The sequence below is a fragment of the Homo sapiens genome, chromosome 17 (assembly GCF_000001405.40).
Source record: "Homo sapiens chromosome 17, GRCh38.p14 Primary Assembly".
Taxonomy (NCBI): Eukaryota; Metazoa; Chordata; class Mammalia; order Primates; family Hominidae; genus Homo; species Homo sapiens.
This window is the reverse complement of record NC_000017.11, coordinates 16,437,332-16,457,539: the sequence shown is the minus strand read 5'-3', so window position 1 is coordinate 16,457,539 and position 20,208 is coordinate 16,437,332. Positions and strand designations below refer to the sequence as shown.

Here is a 20,208-nt window from a genome sequence, read left to right as displayed (position 1 = left end):
AGCAAGGCTGTCTTGGAGGCCGGCGGCTGCACATGCCGAAGTGGGGGAATCAGAATAAACTCCCCCATCCGTCTCTCCTCCTGCCCTCTGGTCTTGCTGCCATTGCTCCCATTAGCTGAACCCAAGTGGAAGCCAGGGGGAAGAGAGCCCAGTGATGCAGTCTCTAGAGCCCAGCCTTCTGAGCAGAGAAGGGCAGAGTGGACTGTGGGGCAAGAGGAAACAGAAAAGCCGGCACACAGTCTCTGCATCTGGAATGGTGTCCAGTGTAATGAGGGGGACAGTCAACATTTGATGAATGTATGAATGAATTTATGGATGAGGGAGGGATAGCCTTGAATGGAGGGCAGTGGAGGGCTGTGCTTGTCGGGGTCCTGGAGCAGTTACAGAGGTGCCTGGGGAGTGAAGATGGCAGATGGTATCACTGCCTGATGGCTGAGAGCCAGAGCAGTGTCGGGTGCTGGTACCCCTCCCAGGTCAGCCTGCAGGTCAGCACGTCATCTTTCCTGACAGATTAATGAGAAGCCCCTCAAACACGTTCTGCCCCAGGACCTGGGCAGCCTCACTGGGAAGGTCTGGAGAGGCTGCTGCCCTGACCTGCACTCATAGTCACTTGACTGTGCCACATCCCACTCCTGCCATCTTCAGGGATCGGGGGAGGACTGCAAAGCATTGATTCAGCACACAGCCATTGAGCCTTCTGGGCGGGTTAGGATTCTGCTGCACATAACAGAAGCCCAGGCGGGCTGGCTCCAGCAAGGAAGAAAATGTGTTCTACAGATATCGAGGTGTCTTGTGGTGCCCACGGGCAGCCAAGTTAGACCAAGGTGCTAGAACTATAGATAAGCACGGTGCAGAGGTCCCTCCTTCCCTCCTCGCTGCTCTACCCTGCCTCCCTCTGTGTTCCCTCTGCACAGACTGCTCTTCCCCCTGCCGCATGGTAGGGAATGTGGCTAGCTATGGCTCCCAGGTTACTTCTCAGGGTTCCAGCCACTGGAGGAGTTAGGGTATGTGTGTCTCAGTGTCAAGTCCAGCTTCCTCCTCCTCTTCCTCTTCCTCCTCCTCTTCTTTCTCCTTCTCCTCTTCTTCCTCTTCCTCCTCCTCTTCCTTCTTCTGCTCCTCTTCCTCCTCCTCCTCTTCCTCCTTTTCCTTCTTCTCTTCCTCCTCCTCTTCCTTCTCTTCCTCCTCCTCTTCCTTCTCTTCCTCCTCCTCTTCCTTCTTCTCCTCTTCCTCCTCCTCCTCTTCCTTCTCTTCCTCCTCCTCTTCCTCCTCCTCCTCTTCCTGATCCTCTTCCTTCTTCTCCTCCTTTCTCCTCTTCTTCCTCCTCTTCCTCCTCCTCTTCCTCCTCCTTCCTCCTCTTCCTCCTCCTACCCCTCCTCTTCCTCCTCCTCTCCCTCCTCTTCCTCCTCCTCCTACTACTGCTACTCCTCCTCCTCCCCCTCCCCTTCCTCCTCCTCCTCTCCCTCTTCCTCTTCCTCCTTCTCCTCCTCTCCCTCCCCCCGTTCCCCACCTTCTTACTGCTCCACTTCTGGGCCAGTGCTGCCTAGTCCTGTTCTCTGCAGGAGGGAGCCCTGGAGGGGTTCTTTGAAAAGTGGAAGAGTTGGGAAAAAATGAGACAGTCTCACTGAAGGCTTTTCTGGTTGTAAATGATAGAAACACTTTGAACTGACCTAAGCCAAAGACAGGATTTCTCACAAGGAGGGCAGCAGATAGCGGTTAGGAGCATCAGCCTCAGAGCTGGCTGACTTTAGATCCTGACTCCGTCTTACAAGCTGGGAGGCCTTGCCCATCTATTTAAGTTCTTTTTGCCTCAGTTCCCTCATTTGTAAAGCGGGGTTATTAATAATACCTGTCTCATAGGGTTGTAGTAAGGTATGGGACTATAGTTTGTAGGGCACTTAGGGAGGTCGAGGCAGGTGGACCACTTGAGGTCAGGATTTGAGACCAGCCTGACCAACATGGTGAAACCCCGTCTCTAATAGAAATACAAAAAAAATTAGCCGGGCATGGATGGCGGGTGCCTGTAGTCCCAGCTACTCGGGAGGCTGAAGCAAGAGAACCGCTTGAATCTGGGAGATGGAGGTTGCATTGAGCTGAGATTGCGCCACTGCACTCCAGCCGGGCGACAGAGCAAGACTCCGTCTAAAAAAAAAAATTGTAGGGCAGAACTGTGTGGTACTTTTCCCTCACTCATTATAAGGGTCATGGCTGACACTCCTATAACCAGACACAGGGTAACAAAAAAGCAGAACAAATGTGTTTAATCAAAATTTTACGCAACATGGGAGCTTTCAGAAATGAAGACGCTCAGGTGAGGCACGGTGGCTCACACCTGTAATACCAGCACTTTGGGAGGCCGAGGCAGGCGGATCGTCTGAGGTCAGGAGTTCAAGACCAACCTGGCCAACATAGTGAAACCCTGTCTCTACTAAAAATACAAAAATTAGCTGGGCGTGGTGGCACGCGCCTGTAATCCCAGCTACTCGGGAGGCTAAGCCAGGAGAATCACTTGAACCTGGGAGACGGAGGTTGCAATGAGCTGAGATGGTGCCACTGTACTCCAGCCTGAGGGCGGGGACAGAGCAAGACTCCGTCACTAAAAAAAAAAAAGAAAAGAAAAGAAAAGAAAAGAAATGAGGACCCTTAGCCCCAGCTACCTGGGAGGCTGATACAGGAGGATTACATGAGTCCAGGAATTCAATACCAGCAAGGCCAATATAGTGAGACCCCCATCTCTTTAAAAAAAGAAAGAAATGAAGACCCCAAACCCCAGGGAAAGAGGTTTTTTTGTTTTTTTGGTTTTTTGTTTGTTAGAATTTGTTTATTTTAATTATATTTATTTATTTATTTTAAAACGGAATTTTGCTCTTGTTGCCCGGGCTGGAGTGCAGTGGCGTGATCTCGGCCCACCTCAACCTCTGCCTCCTGGGTTCACGCGATTCTCCTGCCTCAGCCTTCCGAGCAGCTGGGATTACAGACATGCACCACCATGCCTGGCTAATTTTGTATTTTCAGTAGAGATGGGGTTTCTCCATGTTGGTCAGGCTGGTCTCAAACTCCCAACCTCAGGTGATCCGCCCCCCTCTGCCTCCCAAAGTGCTGGGATTACAGGCATGAGCCACCACGCCTGGCCTGTTTGTTTGTTTGTTTTTTGACAGAGTCTCACTCTGTTGCCCAGGCTGGAGTGCAATGACGTGATCTCGGCTCACTGGACCCTCCACCTCCTGGGTTCAAGCAACTCTCCTGCCTCAGCCTACCAAGTAGCTGGGACTACAGGTGCCCGCCACCATGCCTAGCTAATTTTTTGTATTTTTAGTAGAGATGGAGTTTCGCCGTGTTGGCCAGGCTAGTCTCGAACTCCTGACCTCAGGTGATCCACCCACCTCGGCCTCCCAAAGTGCTGGGATTACAGGCGTGAGCCACCACACTCAGCCAGCTATCTGTTTTTATACTCAGGCTTGGTAAAGAGTGCACAAGCTTGTAGAAATGCGATTGGACAAAGGGTGTGATCTAATGGTGATAGGCCGAGGGGACCCAGGAAGGCTATCTGCTCAGATTCTTCTTGGCCTCTCTCTGCAGTGTTCCTTCCTACCCCTCTGGAATGGTCTTCAAGACAGAAGGGAGAGAGTGACCTGCCTAGTTTTATGGCTTGCTTTGAGGGAGAGGGGTTCTGGTCTCTGTGACCTGCCTTGGGGAAGAAGAATTCTGGTTTCTCTGACTCACTCTGGGGGAGAAGAAGGGCCAGAGACAGGAGGGCAGCAGAAGGGCAGAAAAACTTTGCTTCTGAGGCCTTCCAATTTCCGTTAGTTCAAAGCTCTCTGCTGGCCCCGGCGCCATGCTTTGGAATTGTGTTCTGAGCCCCAAAATGTTCATGCAAACAGTGCTCAGAGGAGATGCCCAATGCATCGCAGCTGCTCAATACATGTTAGCTGTTGTCAGTTTAGTTCAGACAAGCAGAAGGGAACTCTCACTCCTGAGAGAACATCAGCTCACTTGTGCTCTCAAGGCAACTCTATGAGGTGTCCATATCTATTGTTCCTGTCTAGCCAGTGAGGAGACGCAGGCTCCTCAGTTCTCCCTGGTAGTGGCAGATACACTTCCATCCCGAGCCTGGCCCTGTGCGTGGCTGCCCCCTTGTGGCAATGGCAGTGCAGTGATGCCCCCTTGTCCTCTGTTCTCGTGTGTGTGTGTGTGCGTGTGCGTGTGTGCGTGTGCGTGTGTGCGTGTGTGCGTGTGTGTGTGTGTTTAGGAGTCCCACACCAGTCCCACTCTGGCGCCCAGGCCAGAGTTCAGTGGCGCGATCTCGGCTCACTGCAACCTCCACCTCCCGGGTTCAAGCGATTCTCCTGCCACAGCCTCCCAAGTAGCTGGGACTACAGGCACCCACGACTACGCCTGGCTAATTTTTGTATTTTTAGTAGAGATGGGGTTTCACCATATTGGACAGGCTGGTGTCGAACTCCTGACCTTGTGATCCGCCTGCCTCGGCCTCCCAAAGTGCTGGGATTACAGGCGTGAACTACCGCGCCCGGCCTCTATTCTCTTCTTTTAAGGCTCAGCTGCCCAGGCTGAGAGGGTGGACAGGGATTTTGGCCCCAGATTTTGGAAACCCTGGGAAGTGATTGAAGGAGGAGCTGCAGCTGAGGGGCTCAGTTCTAAGCTTTGGAGACTGGCTACATTCTGTCCTGGGGTGGTTCCAGGAGTGATGCTGGGCAGACCACCTGATCCCACCCATGGTCTTTGAACCAGTGCTTCTCCACCTCAGCTGCACTAGGGAATCACCTGGGGACCTTTTAAAAATCCCCGTGTGGCCAGGCAGGGTGGCTCACACCTGTAATCCCAGCACTTTAGGAGGCTGAGGCGGGCAGATCACGAGGTCAGGAGTTCGAGACCAGGCTGGCCAACATGGTGAAACCCCATCTCTATTAAGATACAAAAAATTAGCGGGGTGTGGTGGCAGGCGTCTGTAATCAGCTACTTGGGAGGCTGAAGCAGGAGAATCGTTTGAACCTGGGAGATGGAGGTTGCAGTGAGCCAAGACCGCGCCACTGCACTCCAGCCTGGGCAACAGAGTGAGACTCCATCTCAAACAAAAAGAAAAAAAAAAAAATCCCTGTGCCTGAGCCACCCACCCATCATTGGGGTGGCCCAGGCATCAGTGTTATTTTGTTGTTGTTTGGTTTGGTTTGGTTTTTTGAGACTAGGTCTCACCCTGTCTGGAGTGCAGAGGTGTGATCACGGCTCACTGCAGCCTTCACTTTCGGGGCTCAAGAGCCTCCTACCTCAGCCTCCCGGGTAGCTGGGACTGCAGGCACATGCCACCATGATGGGCTTTTTTTTTTTTTTTTTTTTTTTTTGAGAGCAAGTCTCACTATATTGCCCAGGGTAGTCTTGAACTCCTGGGGTCAAGTGATCCTCCTGCCTCAGCCTCCCAAAGTGCTGGGATTACAAGAGTGAGCCACAGCACCTGGCCCATCAGTGGACTTTAAAGCTCCCCTGAGATTCCAGGCCGGGCGCGGTGGCTAACGCCTGTAATGGGAGGCCGAGGCGGGCGGATCACAAGGTCAGGAGATCGAGACCATCCTCGCTAACACAGTGAGACCCCCCGTCTCTACTAAAAATGCAAAAAAATTAGCCGGGCATGTTGGCGGGCGCCTGTAGTCCCAGCTACTGGAGAGGCTGAGGCAGGAGAATGGCGTGAACCCGGGAGGCGGAGCTTGCAGTGAGCCAAGATCGCGCCACTACACTCCATCCTGGGCGACAGAGCGATACTCCGTCTCAAAAAAAAGAAAAAAAAGCTCCCCTGAGATTCCGGTATGAAAGATTCCAAGGTAAAGAAGCACAGCTCTAGATGGGCCATCTCCAGTGTCACCTCCTATTCTCTGTTTTATTTATTTATTATTATTATTATTTTTTTTTTTGAGATGGAGTCTCACTCTGTCACCCAGGCTGGAGTGCAGTGGTGCGATCTCGGCTCACTGTAACCTCCGCCTCCTGGGTTCAAACAATTCTCCTGCCTCAGCACTCCGGAGCAGCTGGGATCACAGGCGCCCGCCGTCACGCCCAGCTAATTTTTGTATTCTTAGTAGAGACAGGGTTTTGCCATGTTGGCCAGGCTGATCTCGAACTCCTGACCTCAGGTGATCCATCCACCTTGGCCTCCCAACGTGCTGGGATTAACAGGCGTGAGCCACCGTGCCTGGCCCCTATTCTCCCTTTGAGCTCTAAGGTCGGCTCCCACCATGGCCCCACTCCCTGAACTTGTGCTGGCCATGGCCTCCTTGTTGGAGACCCAGTGGCCTCTGGGTGGGGGTCTAACCCCATTAGTCACTCTTCTTGGTGTCCAGACTCCACTACTCCTGCTGCTCTGATGGAGTCTTCTCTGACTGCTGTGTGTCCACTGTTCTCTCTCCCTCCTGCTTAGCTCATTCTCTGGCCAGGGGTTTAATCTTACTGATGAATGTGTCCAGCCTGGACCTGTCTTGAGCCCCAACCCCATAAGTCCAGTGGCATCCACAGCTGGAGGTATTGTGAGCTCCTCAAACTTACCATGGCCCCACATGAGCAGGTCACCCCCCTCCTGCCTTCTCACCCACTTCTTGTCTTGAGCCCCTTGCCTTCTACTCATGTCCCAAGCCCAAAGCCTAGACCCTCCTCACCCTCCCTGCCCACACCTTCTCCATCCAGCATATCAGTCAGCTGTGTGGCCTCTGTCCCCTCAGCCCCTTCCAATAGCCTGGCCCTGAGTCATCCTCTCCACCTCCTGTCCACCCCTCTCTCCATCTCCCAGTCTGAGGAACATCCCCCTTGAGGGACTCCCCTGCAGCCCCCATGACCAGCTCCTCCTGCTTCACCCGCCTTGCTTCCCTCCACACAGTCATGTGGCCAGGTTCAGCAAGAAGCTAAGTCTAGGAACCAAAAGATGTCAGCTCCAGGGGTGGGGAATGAAGCCGTAAAGGCAGATGCTCACCTGCCCCCACATCTGCAACACACAAGAGTGACACACAGGAGTGACAGGTGTAACACACAGGTGTGATACAGGTGCAAGTGGCAGGTGATACAAGCTTATTCATCAGACAGCCAGGCACCAGGAAGCTGGGGGCAGGGGTGGGGATGGGCTGTGAACTGGAGCCCAGGGGCCTCCTCCAAATCCGTTCTGTTCAGTCTCGGGCCCTCCTTTGCTTCCTGGGTCCCTCCACAGATGCCTCTCTCCTTTGGACATTCAACTGCCATCTTCCCAACTCCTCTCTCTCTTGTCCCCCTTCCTCAGAGTCTCCTTCTCTTGCCTTCCCATCAGCCCCAAGCCCATCCCCAGCCCTCTGGGCCTCAGGCTCCCCCACTGCATAATGGGAATAACGAAAGTATCTACTGCCTTGGGGTGCTGTGGGAATTCCATAACCTTCTTGCGTGATGTCTGGTGTGCAGGGCTGACAGTGGCTTGAACCATGGAGGGACCAGATGTGATCAGGCCCCAGGCCTTCACCTGCCCTCATGTCAGTAACACACCCCACAGCCGCCACATCACCAAGCCCTGCCACAGACTGTTTCCTCCTCACTCAAGGATGCCTCACGTTTTCTTTCTCCATCTGAAATCACTAACCCATCTGCTCTTAAAAGCTGAGCTCAGCCTGGGCGCGGTGGCTCACACCTGTAATCCCAGCACTTTGGGAGGCCAAGGCGGGTGGATCACTTGAGGTCAGGAGTTCAAGACCAGCCTGACCAACATGGTGAAACCCCATCTCTACTAAAAATACAAAAACTAGCCAGGTGTGATGGCGGGTGCCTGTAATCCCAACTACTCGGGAGGCTGAGGCAGGAGAATCACTCGAACCCAGGTGGCGGAGGTTGCAGTGAGCCGAGATCGTGCCATTGCACTCCAGCCTGGGTGACAGAGCAAGACTGTCTCAAAAAATAAATTAAATTAAATTAAAATAAAGCTGAGCTCAAATCTGAGCCTGGGCAGAAGTCATCTTCCCTCCTTGCCCTGCCAGAATTCTCTGTGCTGGTGCCGCTATCACGGTATTCACTTAGAGTGTGCCTGGAGAGCTTGCTGTGGGTTGGGCTCTATTCAAAGCACTGCGCTAGTAGTGACTCATTTAATCCTCACAGAAACTCTTGTGAGGTCTGTACTGTAATCCTTTCACAGATGTGGTTTGGAGCACAGAGAAGTCAAGCAATTGTCCAAGGCCACACAGAACGGGACAAAGCCAGGACTTGAATCCCCACGGTTTGGCCCCAGGTCTTTGCTCTTCACTACTCAATACACTGCTTGTCCACTAGCAGAGGGGTGTGGGAATCGTAATGACAAAGCAGCCTGTTGAGCACCCACTCCAGGCACCATGCTGAGCACTGTGCGTGGTTAACGTGCCGGACCTCCCCACACCGAGTCGTTGGCCACATGTGGGTTTGCATCTGAGTCCAGCGCTTGCATCCAAGCCTCAGCGCTTGCATCCAAGCCTCAGCACTGGCCCACTGGCAGGAGCACGCTTTTGGTCCTCACTCCCTGGAGGGACTCATGCCCTCACCCTGTCCAGCACGAGTTTGGCTCCGGGGACTGTTGGATTGACTTTCCTAGGGATGTAGTTGGAGTCTGTAGCATCTTTCAGCTGCACCATTTAACCCAGTGTCTGCCATAACAAAAAATCACAGACTGGTGGTCTAAACAGCAGACAGTTCGTTTCGCACAGCTCTGAAGGCTAGAAGTCCAAGGCTGGCTGGTGGGTTTCCTTCTGAGGCTCTCTCCTAGGTCTGTCAGTCCCTCCTCCTCCTGTGTCCTCAAGTGGTTGTTCCTCTGCATGTCTGTGTCCTCATTTCTTCTTCTTAGGACACCAGTCATACAGGATTAGGGCCTACTCCTCTGACCTCATTTTACCTTAGTCACCTCTTTAAAGGCCTTGTCTCCAAATACAGCTGCATTCCAAGGTACTAGGGGTTAGGACATCAACTTGTGATTGTCAGCGGGATACAGTTCAGCCCATGACACCCAGGGTTTCAAACTCAGATGCCAACGGGCCTGACAGGAACGCATGTGAATGAACTGCGCTGGGAAAGACTTGGCCTCCTCATTCATTTGTTCTCACTTTTGAGGGAGACACAGGTAAAAATATCTCATTTTCCCCTTTACTATGTGAAATACAAGGACACGAACATTTGTTCATGGCCATATCCTAGCTTCCTAGAACAAGTGCCTGGCTCCGAGTAAGTGCTCAATAAATCTGCTGAGCAAGAGAATGCACAGAGCGGCCCTGGACATTGGGGAGTGGCAGGGATCATGGTGAGTCTTGGCCAGGGGGTCAGCAGGCACTTGGCTCCAGCCAACTTTTGTCCGATCTCCTGGAATCCAGACTTACATAAATCTGTTTTTCAATGCTAGCAACTAATTCACAAAAACTAAAACCATCCTGCAGATCTGTTTGCAGCCACTGCTGTCTGCCTAGGGTGCCCACCCTAGGCCAGCAGAGCAGGGCCTCCCCCAGCTCAGCCTGGGGGAGCTGGGCTCTTACCCGGGAGACAGGAAGCCTGGGGGCTGAGACTGGTGCACCCAGCCACTCAGGGCCCTACCACCCATGGTTGCCTCTGCAGGAAGGCGATGCACTGGGCGCCATGGAGAAGCTGTGCCGGCAGCTGACATACCACCTCAGCCCCCACTCCCAGTGGAGGCGGCACCGGGGGCTGGTGAAAAGGAAGCCACAGGCCTGGTGAGTTACACTCCCCCGGGCAGGTCTATGCCAGGCTGAGTGTGTGTTACAGGGCACCCCTCCCAGGGATGTAGGGAAGGGAAGGGCGGAGTCATGGGGGGTGGTCATAGAAGCTGCCTGAAGGAGGTAAGATGGAAGGAGGATTCCAGAGTGGGGAAACATCTAGAGGGGGACCCTGGTCTGGTGGGTGGGAGGAAGATGTGAGAAATTTCTAATTCCTGGTGTGCTAAAGTGGGCACTCCCAGATAAGCACAGTGTTTGGCTCATGCCTGTAATCCCAGCACTTTGGGAGGCTGAGGCAGGTGGATCACTTGAGGTCAGGAGTTCGAGACCAGCCTGACCAATGTGGCGAAACCCTGTAAAAATACAAAAATTAGCCAGGCGTGGTGGTGCACACCTGTAATCCTAGTTTCTCAGGAGGCTGAGGCAGGAGAATCACTTGAACTAGGGAGGTGGAGGTTGCAGTGAGCAGAGACAGCGCCACTGCACTCCAGCCTGAGCAACAAGCACTCCCTAGTAACTCCTCAGTTATCTCAGATGTCCCCAGGGGGACCCAGACCCCAGCCCTGTCCCTGGTCCATACAGCAACAAGGGGGTTCAGAGTCCCTTGAAGATTGGTAGGGGTTGAGGGGCATGTAGGACACAGAACCTGTGGGCTGTGATAACACCGTAGGAAGCAAGTAGAGGGGAGCCTGGAAGTAAGGCTTCCTGGAGAAGGAAGCACACCTGTCTTTTTGCAAATGATAGCTGAGTGGTGTGCCCTCACAAAGACTCTGCCAAGGCCTTGGTGCTGGTGCTAGCTCATCCCTGCAGGTCCCTGCAGGCTGGGGAAGGAAGGGCTGTCCCCCTCCCTCATGGAGAAGAAAGAACTCTGGTGCCTCCTTCTGTTCTGGACCCGCCCCCCACCCCCACCCACAACTAGGAGATGGATCCTGGAGAGGCGCATTCCCAGGTGGATGAACAGTGTAAGGCTGTGATGGTGCTGGCTACGGGAGGGGCTCTACCTGGGTAGAGGGGACATATATGGGGATACAGCAAGACGGGGGGCCCTTGGAACCTGGAATGCCATGAGACTGAGCTGGTTCTTTAGCAATGGAAAGCTGGTAGTTTGAGCTCTGCTGGAACCTAAGGGCCTCTCCTGGTTCCCCACACACACCCATGCTCAGTCCATTCTTCATTCGGAAGCCATGTCATGAGGTCTCATTCCCCTCGGGTGGAATCTCATGGCACCTGAATGAAATCCAAGCATGGGCCTCTGATTTGCTCTCCTCGCCCCCTCGTCTCACCTCTCCTGCTCTCCCGCCCCAGCCACACTGGCCTTCCTGCTGGTTCACAGACACACCAGTCCCTTTCCAGCCTCAGGGCCTTTGTGCCCTCTGCTGGAACTTTCACCAAACTCTTTTGATGGCCCATGCTTACTTTTTCATGTGTCAGTCCACACGCTACCTTCTCCTGAGTAGCCACAGCCCCACGCTACAGTATCGCCCCACACTCAGGGTTTTGTTTGTGGTCTGTCTCCCCCTAGTAGAGGAAGAACAGGGATTTTGTCCATCCTGTTCACCACTGTGACCCTAGTGTCTAGGATACTGCCTGGCACACAGATGAGTTTAACAAATGTTTGTTAAAAGAACAAATGGGCTGGGCACGGTGGCTCACGCCTGTAATCCCAGCACTTTGGGAGGCCCAGATGGGCGGATCACCTGAAGTAGGAAGTTCAAGACCAGCCTGGCTAACATAGTGAAACCCTGTCTCTACTAAAAATAAAAAAATTAGCTGGGCATGATGTTGCACGCCTGTAATCCCAGCTACTCAGAAGGCTGAGGCAGGAGAATCACTTGAACCTGGGAGGCGGAAGTTGCAGTGAGCCAAGATCATGCCACTGCACTCCAGCCTGGGCAACAGAGTGAGACTCCATCTCCAAGAAACAAAAAGGAACAAATTAGGGAGGAGATATCACTGTTGTCAATTGACTGGTTAGGATCACCCAACTGGTAAGTGGTGGGGCTGAATTCAAACCCAGCTCAGGCTGTTCACCACCACACTGCTTCCCTGGTGGAATGGGTCTTTATTAATGACATTGATAATAGCACCAAAGTTAAATCAAGCTGCACAGATGGCTGGCAGCATTCCAAGCATTTAAATGTCACGCCTTGAGAGTTTTACTTTCCAACTCCCTGGGGCTGGACCCCAGTCAGAGTCAAAATGAACAAACTGTGGACAGCCTCCCAGCTTAGATCTCAAGGACAAATGTACCCTGTGTTGCCAGGAAGTACAAGCCATGACCTTTGAGCTGTTGACAGTAGCATATGCTCTTGGAGCAGGCTGGGAGCCCCCTCCACCTCCCTCTCCTTCCCAGCACACTTAGAAATGCGGAAAATGGGGCCGGGCACGGTGGCTCACACCTGTGATCCCAGCACTTTGGGAGGCTGAGGTGGGCTGATCATGAGGTCAGGAGATCGAGACCATCCTGGCCAACACAGTGAAACCCCATCTCTACTAAAAATACAAAAAATTAGCCAGGCGTGGGGGCACACACCTGTAGTCCCAGCTACTCGGGAGGCTGAGGCAGGAGAATCGCTTGAACCCAGGAGGTGGAGATTGCAGTGAGCAGAAATGGCGCCACTGCACTCCAGCCTGGGTGACAGAACAAGACTGTCTCAAAAAAAAAAAAAAAAAAAAAAAAAAATGCAGAAAATGGCCAGGCGTGTTGGCTCATGCCTGTAATCCCAATGCTTTGGGAGGCCGAGATGGGTGGATTACCTGAGGTCAGGAGTTCCAGACCAGTCTGGCCAACATGGTGAAACCCCGTCTCTACTAAAAATACAAAAATTAGCCAGGCGTGGTGGCAGACGCCTGTAATCCCAGCTACTCAGGAAGCTGAGGCAGGAGAATCACTTGAGCCCGGGAGGCAGAGGGTGCAGTGAACCAAGATCGTGCCATTGTACTCCAGCCTGGGTGACAGAGCGAGACTGTCTCCAAAAAAAAAAAAAAATGTGGAAAATGAACATCTCACCACTGCACCTGGGCCTTGGAGCCAGCAAACAGATGGCGGGGGTGGGGTGGGGGGTGTGCAGGGAAGGGCACACTTGCCATCAGCTTGAACTGCCTGGGCTCTGTCCCAAGAACAAGCAGAAGCAAGGAGCAAGGCACTCAGCCTCCAGGAGTCAGCAGCTGCCACCAGGCTCAGAGCCCCTGAGCCCTGCCCTGCCTGCTGTCTTACAGGCTCCCCATAGGGAATCCTTCTCTGGTGGGGAAGATGGTCTTGAAAGAGGGGACTCAGAGATCCTTTGTGCCATTCATGGGGGCTGAGCTGCCACCCCAGGGTGGTAGAAGTGGGAAGCTGAGTCCAGGTGATGAATACAGCAGCAAATGTTTATTCCTCACTCGCCTACTATACAAGGCACCATTTTGCACTTATGAACTTCTTCCATATATCAGCCCAATGGTACTCTTAACTCAATTTTTCTGGTAAATAGGGGCAGCCACATACCTCAGGCTACGGCCAGCTGGGCCCTGACAGCTGAGACGTGCGGCAGTGTCAGGGGACTGAGGTCCCTGGTTGCTCCCACCTCTGCACTTGTGGCATCCGACATCCAAGTGTTTCGTAAAAGCAGTCCCTAGCGTCGGAGAGCCGAGCAGAGGCTGGCACTGCAGCTTCTGGGGGAAAGGCCTGCCCTATGTGCCTGAGCCTTGTTTGTCCTTTTTCCCTTCAGCCTCAAGGCTGTCCTGGCCGGAAGCCCCCCAGACAACACAGTGGACCTGTCGGGAATCCCACTGACCTCCCGAGACCTGGAGCGGGTGACCAGCTACCTACAGCGCTGTGGGGAGCAGGTAGACAGCGTGGAGCTGGGCTTCACAGGCCTCACGGACGACATGGTCCTGCAGCTGCTGCCAGCACTCAGCACCCTGCCCCGCCTCACCACACTGGCACTCAATGGCAACCGGTTGACCCGGGCCGTGCTGCGCGACCTCACTGACATCCTTAAGGATCCCAGCAAGTTCCCCAATGTCACGTGGATTGACCTGGGCAACAACGTGGACATCTTCTCCTTGCCCCAGCCCTTCCTGCTCAGCCTGCGCAAGCGCTCCCCAAAGCAGGGCCACCTACCCACCATCCTGGAGCTGGGTGAGGGCCCAGGCAGTGGGGAGGAGGTCCGGGAAGGGACAGTAGGCCAGGAGGACCCTGGAGGGGGCCCTGTGGCACCTGCCGAAGACCACCATGAGGGCAAGGAGACTGTAGCTGCAGCTCAGACGTGACATGGAAGTGAAGGGCCTCACCAGGGAGTCCTTGTTGGGTAGAATGGGCAAGGCAGGCAGGGGAGGGCGCTTCTCCTATCAGGTGGGTTAAGGATATTGCCAAAAATTGGCCTGGGCCACCCACCTACAGAAAGGCAAACCATATCATCTGGGGAAGGGGATTTGTGTTAAAACTTCCCGTTGGTCCTCTGCATCTGCCCCCTATCCCATTATCTGCCATTTGGTTCTTAAGTCATCCCAGGCCCCAGAGAACCCTCTCAGCTCAGCTCATGGCCTTCCCCAAAGACTTGTGGAAATGGGCACATGGCTGGAGGTACTGTAAGCCTGAGCCATTGTGAACACCAAGAGCTTTCCCCCAGAAAAAGAATACAGTAGGGCCCCTACATGTACTGCATTACATTTTTCATTTAGGGGAACAAGCTCCAACCAGAGGAATGTGTCCCCACTCAAGGAAGGTGGGAATCTTTAGCAAAATTCCTGTAACTCCTGGTTGCCCGAGACCCCAGTTCCATCTATGCTAGGGGTGGACTGAACGTGGCCTACCTCCTTATGGAGACCCAGCCCTATTTCTGAGGCCCACCTTGATTCTAGGCATCTGCCCATAGGACCAGCTATCGCTATATCCTTTGACAGAGCAGCCTACGATGCCATGTGGTAGTGCTCAGGACAGACATGGTGCCCATGCATACAGGCATAAAGTCCTGTTCAGAAATCCCCTATCCACCTTCCCTACCCACTGCTGGCTGAAAAACTACCAGACTTCTATGTGGGCTCTGATGTCCTTAGCATGCAGGGTAAGTGACAAACCTGGCTTCCTTCTTGTCACTTGCCAGTATGACTTCACTGACCTAGACAGGCCGTAAGAACTCTTTCCCCATAACTCTTAAGTAATCCACCAACACATTCCAGAAAACCGACTGCAGAAGGTGGGCTTTAAAACCTTAAAAACCTAGGACAATGAAGGAGTCCAATCCCTTGGCAGATCCAACAAGATGGCTGGGGAGAGGGAGAAACAAACTGGAGGCTCCCAAAGGAACCTAACTTAGCAAAGGTTCTCATCTTATACCCTCCCCTTACCCAAATACTGTCCTACTGAAAGGGCCCTACCAGTTAAGGGATCTCTTCTAAATAACAGGCAACCCCTAGATCCAAGTAGTTCAGTCCAGGAAGACTGGGAGCCAATCACTCTTGAACCTTGTGGGCAAACAGTATGGGGGAGGACCCTCTTGACAGGCCTTGGTAGGCAAGATTCCAACACAGGAAGACAGCAAGATGGGGCCTAGAGTATGGGGCCCTACATGCTGTTAAGGTTGTGGTTAGGAATGGTGCAATGCTGCAGGAGCTGGAACAAAGCTACACCAAGGAACAGAGCACAGAGCAGCAGGGGCCGAAATTGAGGAGGCCTTAAATGCTTTGAGCTTTTGCCTTCAGTCTAAAGCTGTAGAATAGGGGGTTAAGAGCTTAGGCTGACCACAGGGAAGTTTACAAGCTAGAGCGAATATCTGGACTGCTAATATCTGACAACAGTAGGCGAAATTTACTTTTTCTTCAAATACACATTTTCAAGAATTGACACCCAAGACCATCCTTTATTGTAGTATTAGTTCATGGTAACTGCATGAAAAAACATTTCAGGAGGAATTTACAATTTCCAGCTTAAAGAACTTTGCCCACCAACATAACCAATTTATGAAAGTCAATTCATTAAAAGGTATAGAACCTCTTGTTGGGCATGATGGCAAGGGACAAAGCTACAACTTGGCCTGTGCCTTTGGAAGCTGAGGCAGGAGGACCATCTGAGCCCAGGAGCCTGAGACCAGCCTGGGCAACATAGAGAATCCGTCTCAACAAAAAAAAAATTTTAGCCAGGTGTGCTGTGAGCTGTAGTCCCAGCTACAAGGTGGGAGGATTGCTTAGGCCTGGGTGATTGAGGATGCAATGAGCTGTGATTGTGCCACCACACTCCAGCCTGGGCAATACAGCAAGACTGTCTCAAAAAAAAAAAAAAAAACCCAAAAAAACTCAAGAATGTAATGAATGATACCCAATGTGCCTTTTCTAGAAAAAGTTGCCAAATATATCTCTTGGATCTGCTGAGCATGTCCTCTGATACATAAGGCAAGCATGTTTCTACACCCAGTGTTGATGCCAGTTAGTTTTCAGAATCCAAACTGATGGCAGCTACTGGTCCTTGGGACTGACATCCTCTGGGAATATAACCTGCAAAGAAACTACATTTCAATCTCACTTTCTGCACCAACTGACAGTCAATCACAGGGTAAGAGATATCTTCAGAAAACCATAGGTTCACCACTACACAATCTGCCGGTAATTCCAGCTATTTTGGGTGATTTCATCATTTGATATCTTTTTTTTTTGAAGCGAGTTTTAACAAGATCAGCTGTTTATTCATTCCACTATGGGGTTGAAGGGATCATTGGCCAGCTCAAGGCTTACCTTCTCTTGGGCTGAGATGCTGCTGCCAGCTCTAAAACAGCACTCTGTTCTCAAAACCTGGGGGAATGGAGAAGGCGCATACACCTTAGAGACTGCAGATGCAGAGCAGGACAGGCATTTCTGATGACAGTCAATTAATGACTTTACAAATTTAAGTCCATCCTAACAAAAGCCCCTTAAGACCTAATTAGAGGTAATTTTTCTAAGTTTTTGTAAATTATTGAGGACTACAAATCTTAATTAGCTTCTCAGTAGGTTGTAATTTTTTTTTTTTTTTTGAGATGGAGTCTCGCTGTTGCCCAGGCTGGAGTGCAGTGGCACGATTTCGACTCACTACAACCTCCGCCTCCCGGGTTCAAGCGATTCTCCTGGCTCAGCCCCCAAAGTAGCTGGGATTACAAGTACACGCCACCACACCCGGCTAATTTTTGTATTTTTGGTAGAGATGGGGTTTCACCATGTCGGCCAGCCAGGCTGGTCTTGAACTCCTGACCTCAGGTGATCCACCCACCTTAGCCTCCCAAAGTGCTGGGATTACAGGCCACTGTGCCCAGCCTCAGGGGAGTTGTAATCTCCATTTCAGTCATATCAATTTAAACTTCACAAAGCTAAGATTACTTTTCCTTTTCACATCTGAGGAAAACTACATCTCAGCAGACAGGTAATTTGCCCGAGACTAAACAGCCAAGAGGTAAATAGAGTAGCCCCTCTTTCTAGGTAATCCACCCTGGCTCCACTGCCACCGGAAACTAAAATCAGTATCTCTGGGATAGGCTACACTGTTACAAGGTATTAGGTTAACCAAATCCAATTGCCAATATTCGACCTGACAGCTAGGCGTGGTCAGCCACTAGCCTCCCCATAGAGCAAGGCTTACCTCATGGCAGGCTCCTGGCTCCAATACTCAGCTGCCAAACATGATGCTGATTCTTCACGAATTTGCAACCTAGGTGAATATAGCAATTAGGTCACCGTTCAAACAAGTTTACTCCTGGGAACCAGCAAGTGGTGAAGACTTGACTGCAATCAGACAGGAGTAGTCTTCGTCAGTTATCGCTTCTGACGGCACTTCCTATTAGTGATTTCATCAGAGCAGTCAAGCACCTCACAACCCTCCAGTACTGTTCCAACCGCAGATCTAGACCCTACCTGAAACTTAAGCTAACCCTGCTACTGGAGACATTTCTTAACGAAGGAGTTTGTTTCTGCATTATCAGTTTGCTTTAAATGCAGTTCTAGGTTAGGACTGTGGCTGAAGCAGCCATCTCCAGTTTCTATTTAAGTTCCACCCTATGCAATGACATGATAACGTTACCCTAAAGTGTATAAAACACCTAAACGTAGAAAACTGTCAAAACGCCAATTTCCGTGCATTCAAGTGACAAAACTACGTTCCATGTTAAACCCTACACCAGAGAGCCTCTCACCTCGTGGCTACCCCGTCTTCAGCACTCTGCAGTGGGTACGCAATCTTAAAGAGGGAGTAAGGACAGGAATTCAGGGCAGGGCTCTGGCAGTTACGGTCAACTAAGTTGTAGAGGTTTCAGCGACTGCGGTCAGATAGACATTAGACGTCGTCAGTTATCGCTTCTGACGGCACTTCCTATTACAAGTATCATCAGGACAGTCGAATAAGTCTTCCAGTAATACTGTTACAATCTTACCGACGTACACCGCCCTCGGGGTACCCCAAACTGCAAGCCGACCCCAACTTACCCAGTTCTCTCGGGTTTGCACACCCCCACTGTGGGCCGGGGAACCGGGTCCCGGCCTTCGCAGACTCCAGGCTCTGGCAGATGTGGCCCTACCACAAAAGAGTGATCCATGAGCCTCAGCCACGGCAGCCGGATTCGGCCCCGCGCTGCCCTGCCAGGCTGTCCAATACCGGGCCGCAGCGCCCGCCGCGAAAGCCACGCGGGCGCAGGAGCCGGGGAGCCACGCCATCTCAACAGCTGCCCTCCGCCCTCTAGACAGGCTTCCCGGGAACATCTCCCCAGAGACCACAGAAGCTCGAGCTCTTTATTTGCTCTTGCCCCCCAGCTACTACTCCCAGATTCCTAGAGAGCCTACCTCCATAACAACGGGAATGAAAAGGTCACACCTTATGTGCGCCAGGCCCTTAAGGAGTCGGAATATCCCAATCCTCACAAAAGGAGGGGGACGCTGGCAAAGACTCATGGGAACTTTCCGCCAAGTAACGATTTAGACCGGCGCGCTACCCAGGACTCCCCCTCCTGTTGAGTCTATGGTCTCTTCCACAGCCCCGGGAATTCTGGGTCACAACACGCGCGGGGAGTTCCAGGGCGCCTGCGCGAGGGCTGGATCGCGCGTTTGGGCCCCACCTCCGCCACTCCTTAGCTGGGTGGTCTTGGGCCAATTACTCATTCTCTTTAAGCTTCCGATTGGTCCTCTAGTAAACGGAGACACCAGCGCCCCAGAAGATCACGTGAGATGACACACGTGAAAGCCTGTAGAGCTGTGGCACAAGGCAGCCATTCATCCTAGTAGCTCCTCCTGAATCTATTGAGCGTTGCCAAATACTCTCCCCACAGCTATTTCACCACATCCACGGGGCTTCTCAAACCCCTGCGCACTGGTCACCCTCATTACTCCTTTAGCACGACCTTTAGGGAACGAGCTGACGTCTTATCTAGATCCACGTCCATCCTCTGCTCGCCTCTGGGGTAAAGCTCTGCCCACCTCCTTTCCTCTCCTCATTCCTTGGGGCCTCCTCCACCTATGCCCCTGCCTCACCTTCCATGGAAAACTCTCTCTACTGTGGCTTTCCTTTCAGCCTATGAACATGCTCAGCTCTCTCCTTGAAAAAGAATCCATGCAACCACGTTTTGCACACACACGTTATACCAAGGGAAAGAAATTCATTTTGACTGCAAAAAACTGGGAAGACAATCATAAGACCTTTTGAGCTGGCCTCAGAAATAAGTGTAGGGTTTTTGTTGTTGTTGTTGTTGTTGCTCGTTTTTGTGTTTTTTTGAGACGGAATTTCGCTCCTGTTGCCCAGGCTGGACTGCAATGGCGCGATCTCCGCTCACCGCAACCTCTGCCTCCCGGGTTCAAGCGATTCTTCTGCCTCAGCCTCCCGAGTAGCTGGGATTACAGGCATGCGCCACCACGCCCGGCTAATTTTGTATTTTTAGTAGAGACGGGGTTTCTCCATGTTGGTCAGGCTGGTTTCGAACTCCTGAACTCAGGTGATCCGCCCGCCTGGGCCTCCCAGAGTGCTGGGATTACAGGCGCCCGGCAAGTGTAGGGTTTTATTTTATTATTATACTTTAAGTTCTAGGGTACATGTGCACAACGTGCAGGTTTGTTACATATGTATACATGTGCCATGTTGGTATGCTGCACCCATTAACTCATCATTTACATTAGGTATATCTCCTAATGCTATCCCTCCCCCCACCCCCAAGTGTAGGGTTTTAATGGAGGAGGGGGGCTTCCAGCAAGAGCCAGGTCAAGGGATCAAGCACGAGGTCTCTCGGCCTGCATGAATTTGGGGAGAGTGCTAAGGAGGGAGGGGCAACAGAGGTGGAGGGGAGGAGGTGTCTGGAACTGCTTGGGCAAAACCGTGGGGGTCTCGGGATGTCAGCTAGGGCATTCTGTGGGTACTGGGGAGCCTCTCAGGCCTTCAGAGCACAAAGAGGACATGTTTGTCTTATGTCTTAGGAAGGCCCTCTGGCTGCCCTGCAGAGAATGGCTTGGGAGGGGTGGGAATTGAGCAAGAAGCTCGGTAGGAAGAGAAAGCAAGAGAGGTGGCTTTAATGGGTTTTCCCAGGTA

The 20,208-nt window shown here is 52.3% G+C and overlaps 1 protein-coding gene, 1 long non-coding RNA gene and 3 other non-coding genes across 41 annotated transcripts in view, besides 11 other annotated features; 1 reads left to right on the top strand and 4 right to left on the bottom strand.

Moving 5' to 3' along the window:
* The window catches only part of LRRC75A (leucine rich repeat containing 75A), a 50,617-nt gene extending 34,654 nt beyond the window's left edge, over positions 1-15,963 (top strand). For 4 of the 6 annotated variants that reach the window (NM_001113567.3, XM_017024620.2, XM_047435961.1 and 1 more), the window contains 2 exons: positions 9,580-9,695; positions 13,409-15,963. In NM_001113567.3, coding sequence (NP_001107039.1) covers positions 9,580-9,695; positions 13,409-13,952 — 660 coding nt within the window. In that variant the 3' untranslated portion in view covers positions 13,953-15,963. Of the gene's footprint in view, positions 1-9,579; positions 9,696-10,508; positions 10,656-13,408 lie in introns of those variants that run through there. The other 2 variants (XM_047435962.1, NM_207387.4) reach the window with 2 other exon arrangements.
* Positions 1-18,553, bottom strand: part of SNHG29 (small nucleolar RNA host gene 29) — a 31,662-nt gene extending 13,109 nt beyond the window's left edge. For 5 of the 32 annotated variants that reach the window (NR_027173.1, NR_027177.1, NR_027178.1 and 2 more), the window contains exons 1-4: positions 18,480-18,553; positions 18,126-18,213; positions 17,287-17,355; positions 16,410-16,466 (exon numbers count right to left, since the gene is read on the bottom strand). This is a non-coding gene — a long non-coding RNA (small nucleolar RNA host gene 29). Of the gene's footprint in view, positions 1-15,511; positions 16,173-16,321; positions 16,467-17,286; positions 17,430-17,836; positions 18,013-18,125 lie in introns of those variants that run through there. The other 27 variants (NR_027176.1, NR_045023.1, NR_027163.1 and 24 more) reach the window with 26 other exon arrangements.
* Positions 158-657: an enhancer, noted in NCBI's record as "H3K4me1 hESC enhancer chr17:16360197-16360696 (GRCh37/hg19 assembly coordinates)". NCBI's record gives its function as "activates a minimal SCP1, AML or CMV promoter by ChIP-STARR-seq in naive and primed H9 embryonic stem cells {active_cell/tissue: H9 hESC(naive and primed)}" and the evidence as "EXISTENCE:reporter gene assay evidence [ECO:0000049][PMID:30033119]".
* Positions 658-1,159: an enhancer, noted in NCBI's record as "H3K4me1 hESC enhancer chr17:16359695-16360196 (GRCh37/hg19 assembly coordinates)". NCBI's record gives its function as "activates a minimal SCP1, AML or CMV promoter by ChIP-STARR-seq in naive H9 embryonic stem cells {active_cell/tissue: H9 hESC(naive)}" and the evidence as "EXISTENCE:reporter gene assay evidence [ECO:0000049][PMID:30033119]".
* Positions 7,880-8,379: an enhancer, noted in NCBI's record as "H3K4me1 hESC enhancer chr17:16352475-16352974 (GRCh37/hg19 assembly coordinates)". NCBI's record gives its function as "activates a minimal SCP1, AML or CMV promoter by ChIP-STARR-seq in primed H9 embryonic stem cells {active_cell/tissue: H9 hESC(primed)}" and the evidence as "EXISTENCE:reporter gene assay evidence [ECO:0000049][PMID:30033119]".
* Positions 8,380-8,881: an enhancer, noted in NCBI's record as "H3K4me1 hESC enhancer chr17:16351973-16352474 (GRCh37/hg19 assembly coordinates)". NCBI's record gives its function as "activates a minimal SCP1, AML or CMV promoter by ChIP-STARR-seq in primed H9 embryonic stem cells {active_cell/tissue: H9 hESC(primed)}" and the evidence as "EXISTENCE:reporter gene assay evidence [ECO:0000049][PMID:30033119]".
* Positions 12,846-13,745: an enhancer, noted in NCBI's record as "H3K27ac-H3K4me1 hESC enhancer chr17:16347109-16348008 (GRCh37/hg19 assembly coordinates)". NCBI's record gives its function as "activates a minimal SCP1, AML or CMV promoter by ChIP-STARR-seq in primed H9 embryonic stem cells {active_cell/tissue: H9 hESC(primed)}" and the evidence as "EXISTENCE:reporter gene assay evidence [ECO:0000049][PMID:30033119]".
* Positions 13,653-13,732: an enhancer, noted in NCBI's record as "active region_11766". NCBI's record gives its function as "activates an Ori minimal core promoter by ATAC-STARR-seq in GM12878 lymphoblastoid cells {active_cell/tissue: GM12878}" and the evidence as "EXISTENCE:reporter gene assay evidence [ECO:0000049][PMID:35858748]".
* On the bottom strand, positions 16,242-16,314 carry SNORD65 (small nucleolar RNA, C/D box 65). The gene has a single exon (NR_003054.1). It is a non-coding gene; the product is annotated as a small nucleolar RNA, C/D box 65 (small nucleolar RNA).
* Positions 17,348-18,249: an enhancer, noted in NCBI's record as "NANOG-H3K27ac-H3K4me1 hESC enhancer chr17:16342605-16343506 (GRCh37/hg19 assembly coordinates)". NCBI's record gives its function as "activates a minimal SCP1, AML or CMV promoter by ChIP-STARR-seq in primed H9 embryonic stem cells {active_cell/tissue: H9 hESC(primed)}" and the evidence as "EXISTENCE:reporter gene assay evidence [ECO:0000049][PMID:30033119]".
* SNORD49A (small nucleolar RNA, C/D box 49A) lies at positions 17,434-17,504 on the bottom strand. The gene has a single exon (NR_002744.1). It is a non-coding gene; the product is annotated as a small nucleolar RNA, C/D box 49A (small nucleolar RNA).
* On the bottom strand, positions 17,984-18,031 carry SNORD49B (small nucleolar RNA, C/D box 49B). Its single transcript, NR_003043.1, has one exon. It is a non-coding gene; the product is annotated as a small nucleolar RNA, C/D box 49B (small nucleolar RNA).
* Positions 18,250-19,149: an enhancer, noted in NCBI's record as "OCT4-NANOG-H3K27ac-H3K4me1 hESC enhancer chr17:16341705-16342604 (GRCh37/hg19 assembly coordinates)". NCBI's record gives its function as "activates a minimal SCP1, AML or CMV promoter by ChIP-STARR-seq in primed H9 embryonic stem cells {active_cell/tissue: H9 hESC(primed)}" and the evidence as "EXISTENCE:reporter gene assay evidence [ECO:0000049][PMID:30033119]".
* Positions 18,555-18,884: an enhancer, noted in NCBI's record as "active region_11765". NCBI's record gives its function as "activates an Ori minimal core promoter by ATAC-STARR-seq in GM12878 lymphoblastoid cells {active_cell/tissue: GM12878}" and the evidence as "EXISTENCE:reporter gene assay evidence [ECO:0000049][PMID:35858748]".
* Positions 18,945-19,134: an enhancer, noted in NCBI's record as "active region_11764". NCBI's record gives its function as "activates an Ori minimal core promoter by ATAC-STARR-seq in GM12878 lymphoblastoid cells {active_cell/tissue: GM12878}" and the evidence as "EXISTENCE:reporter gene assay evidence [ECO:0000049][PMID:35858748]".
* Positions 19,150-20,051: an enhancer, noted in NCBI's record as "NANOG-H3K27ac-H3K4me1 hESC enhancer chr17:16340803-16341704 (GRCh37/hg19 assembly coordinates)". NCBI's record gives its function as "activates a minimal SCP1, AML or CMV promoter by ChIP-STARR-seq in primed H9 embryonic stem cells {active_cell/tissue: H9 hESC(primed)}" and the evidence as "EXISTENCE:reporter gene assay evidence [ECO:0000049][PMID:30033119]".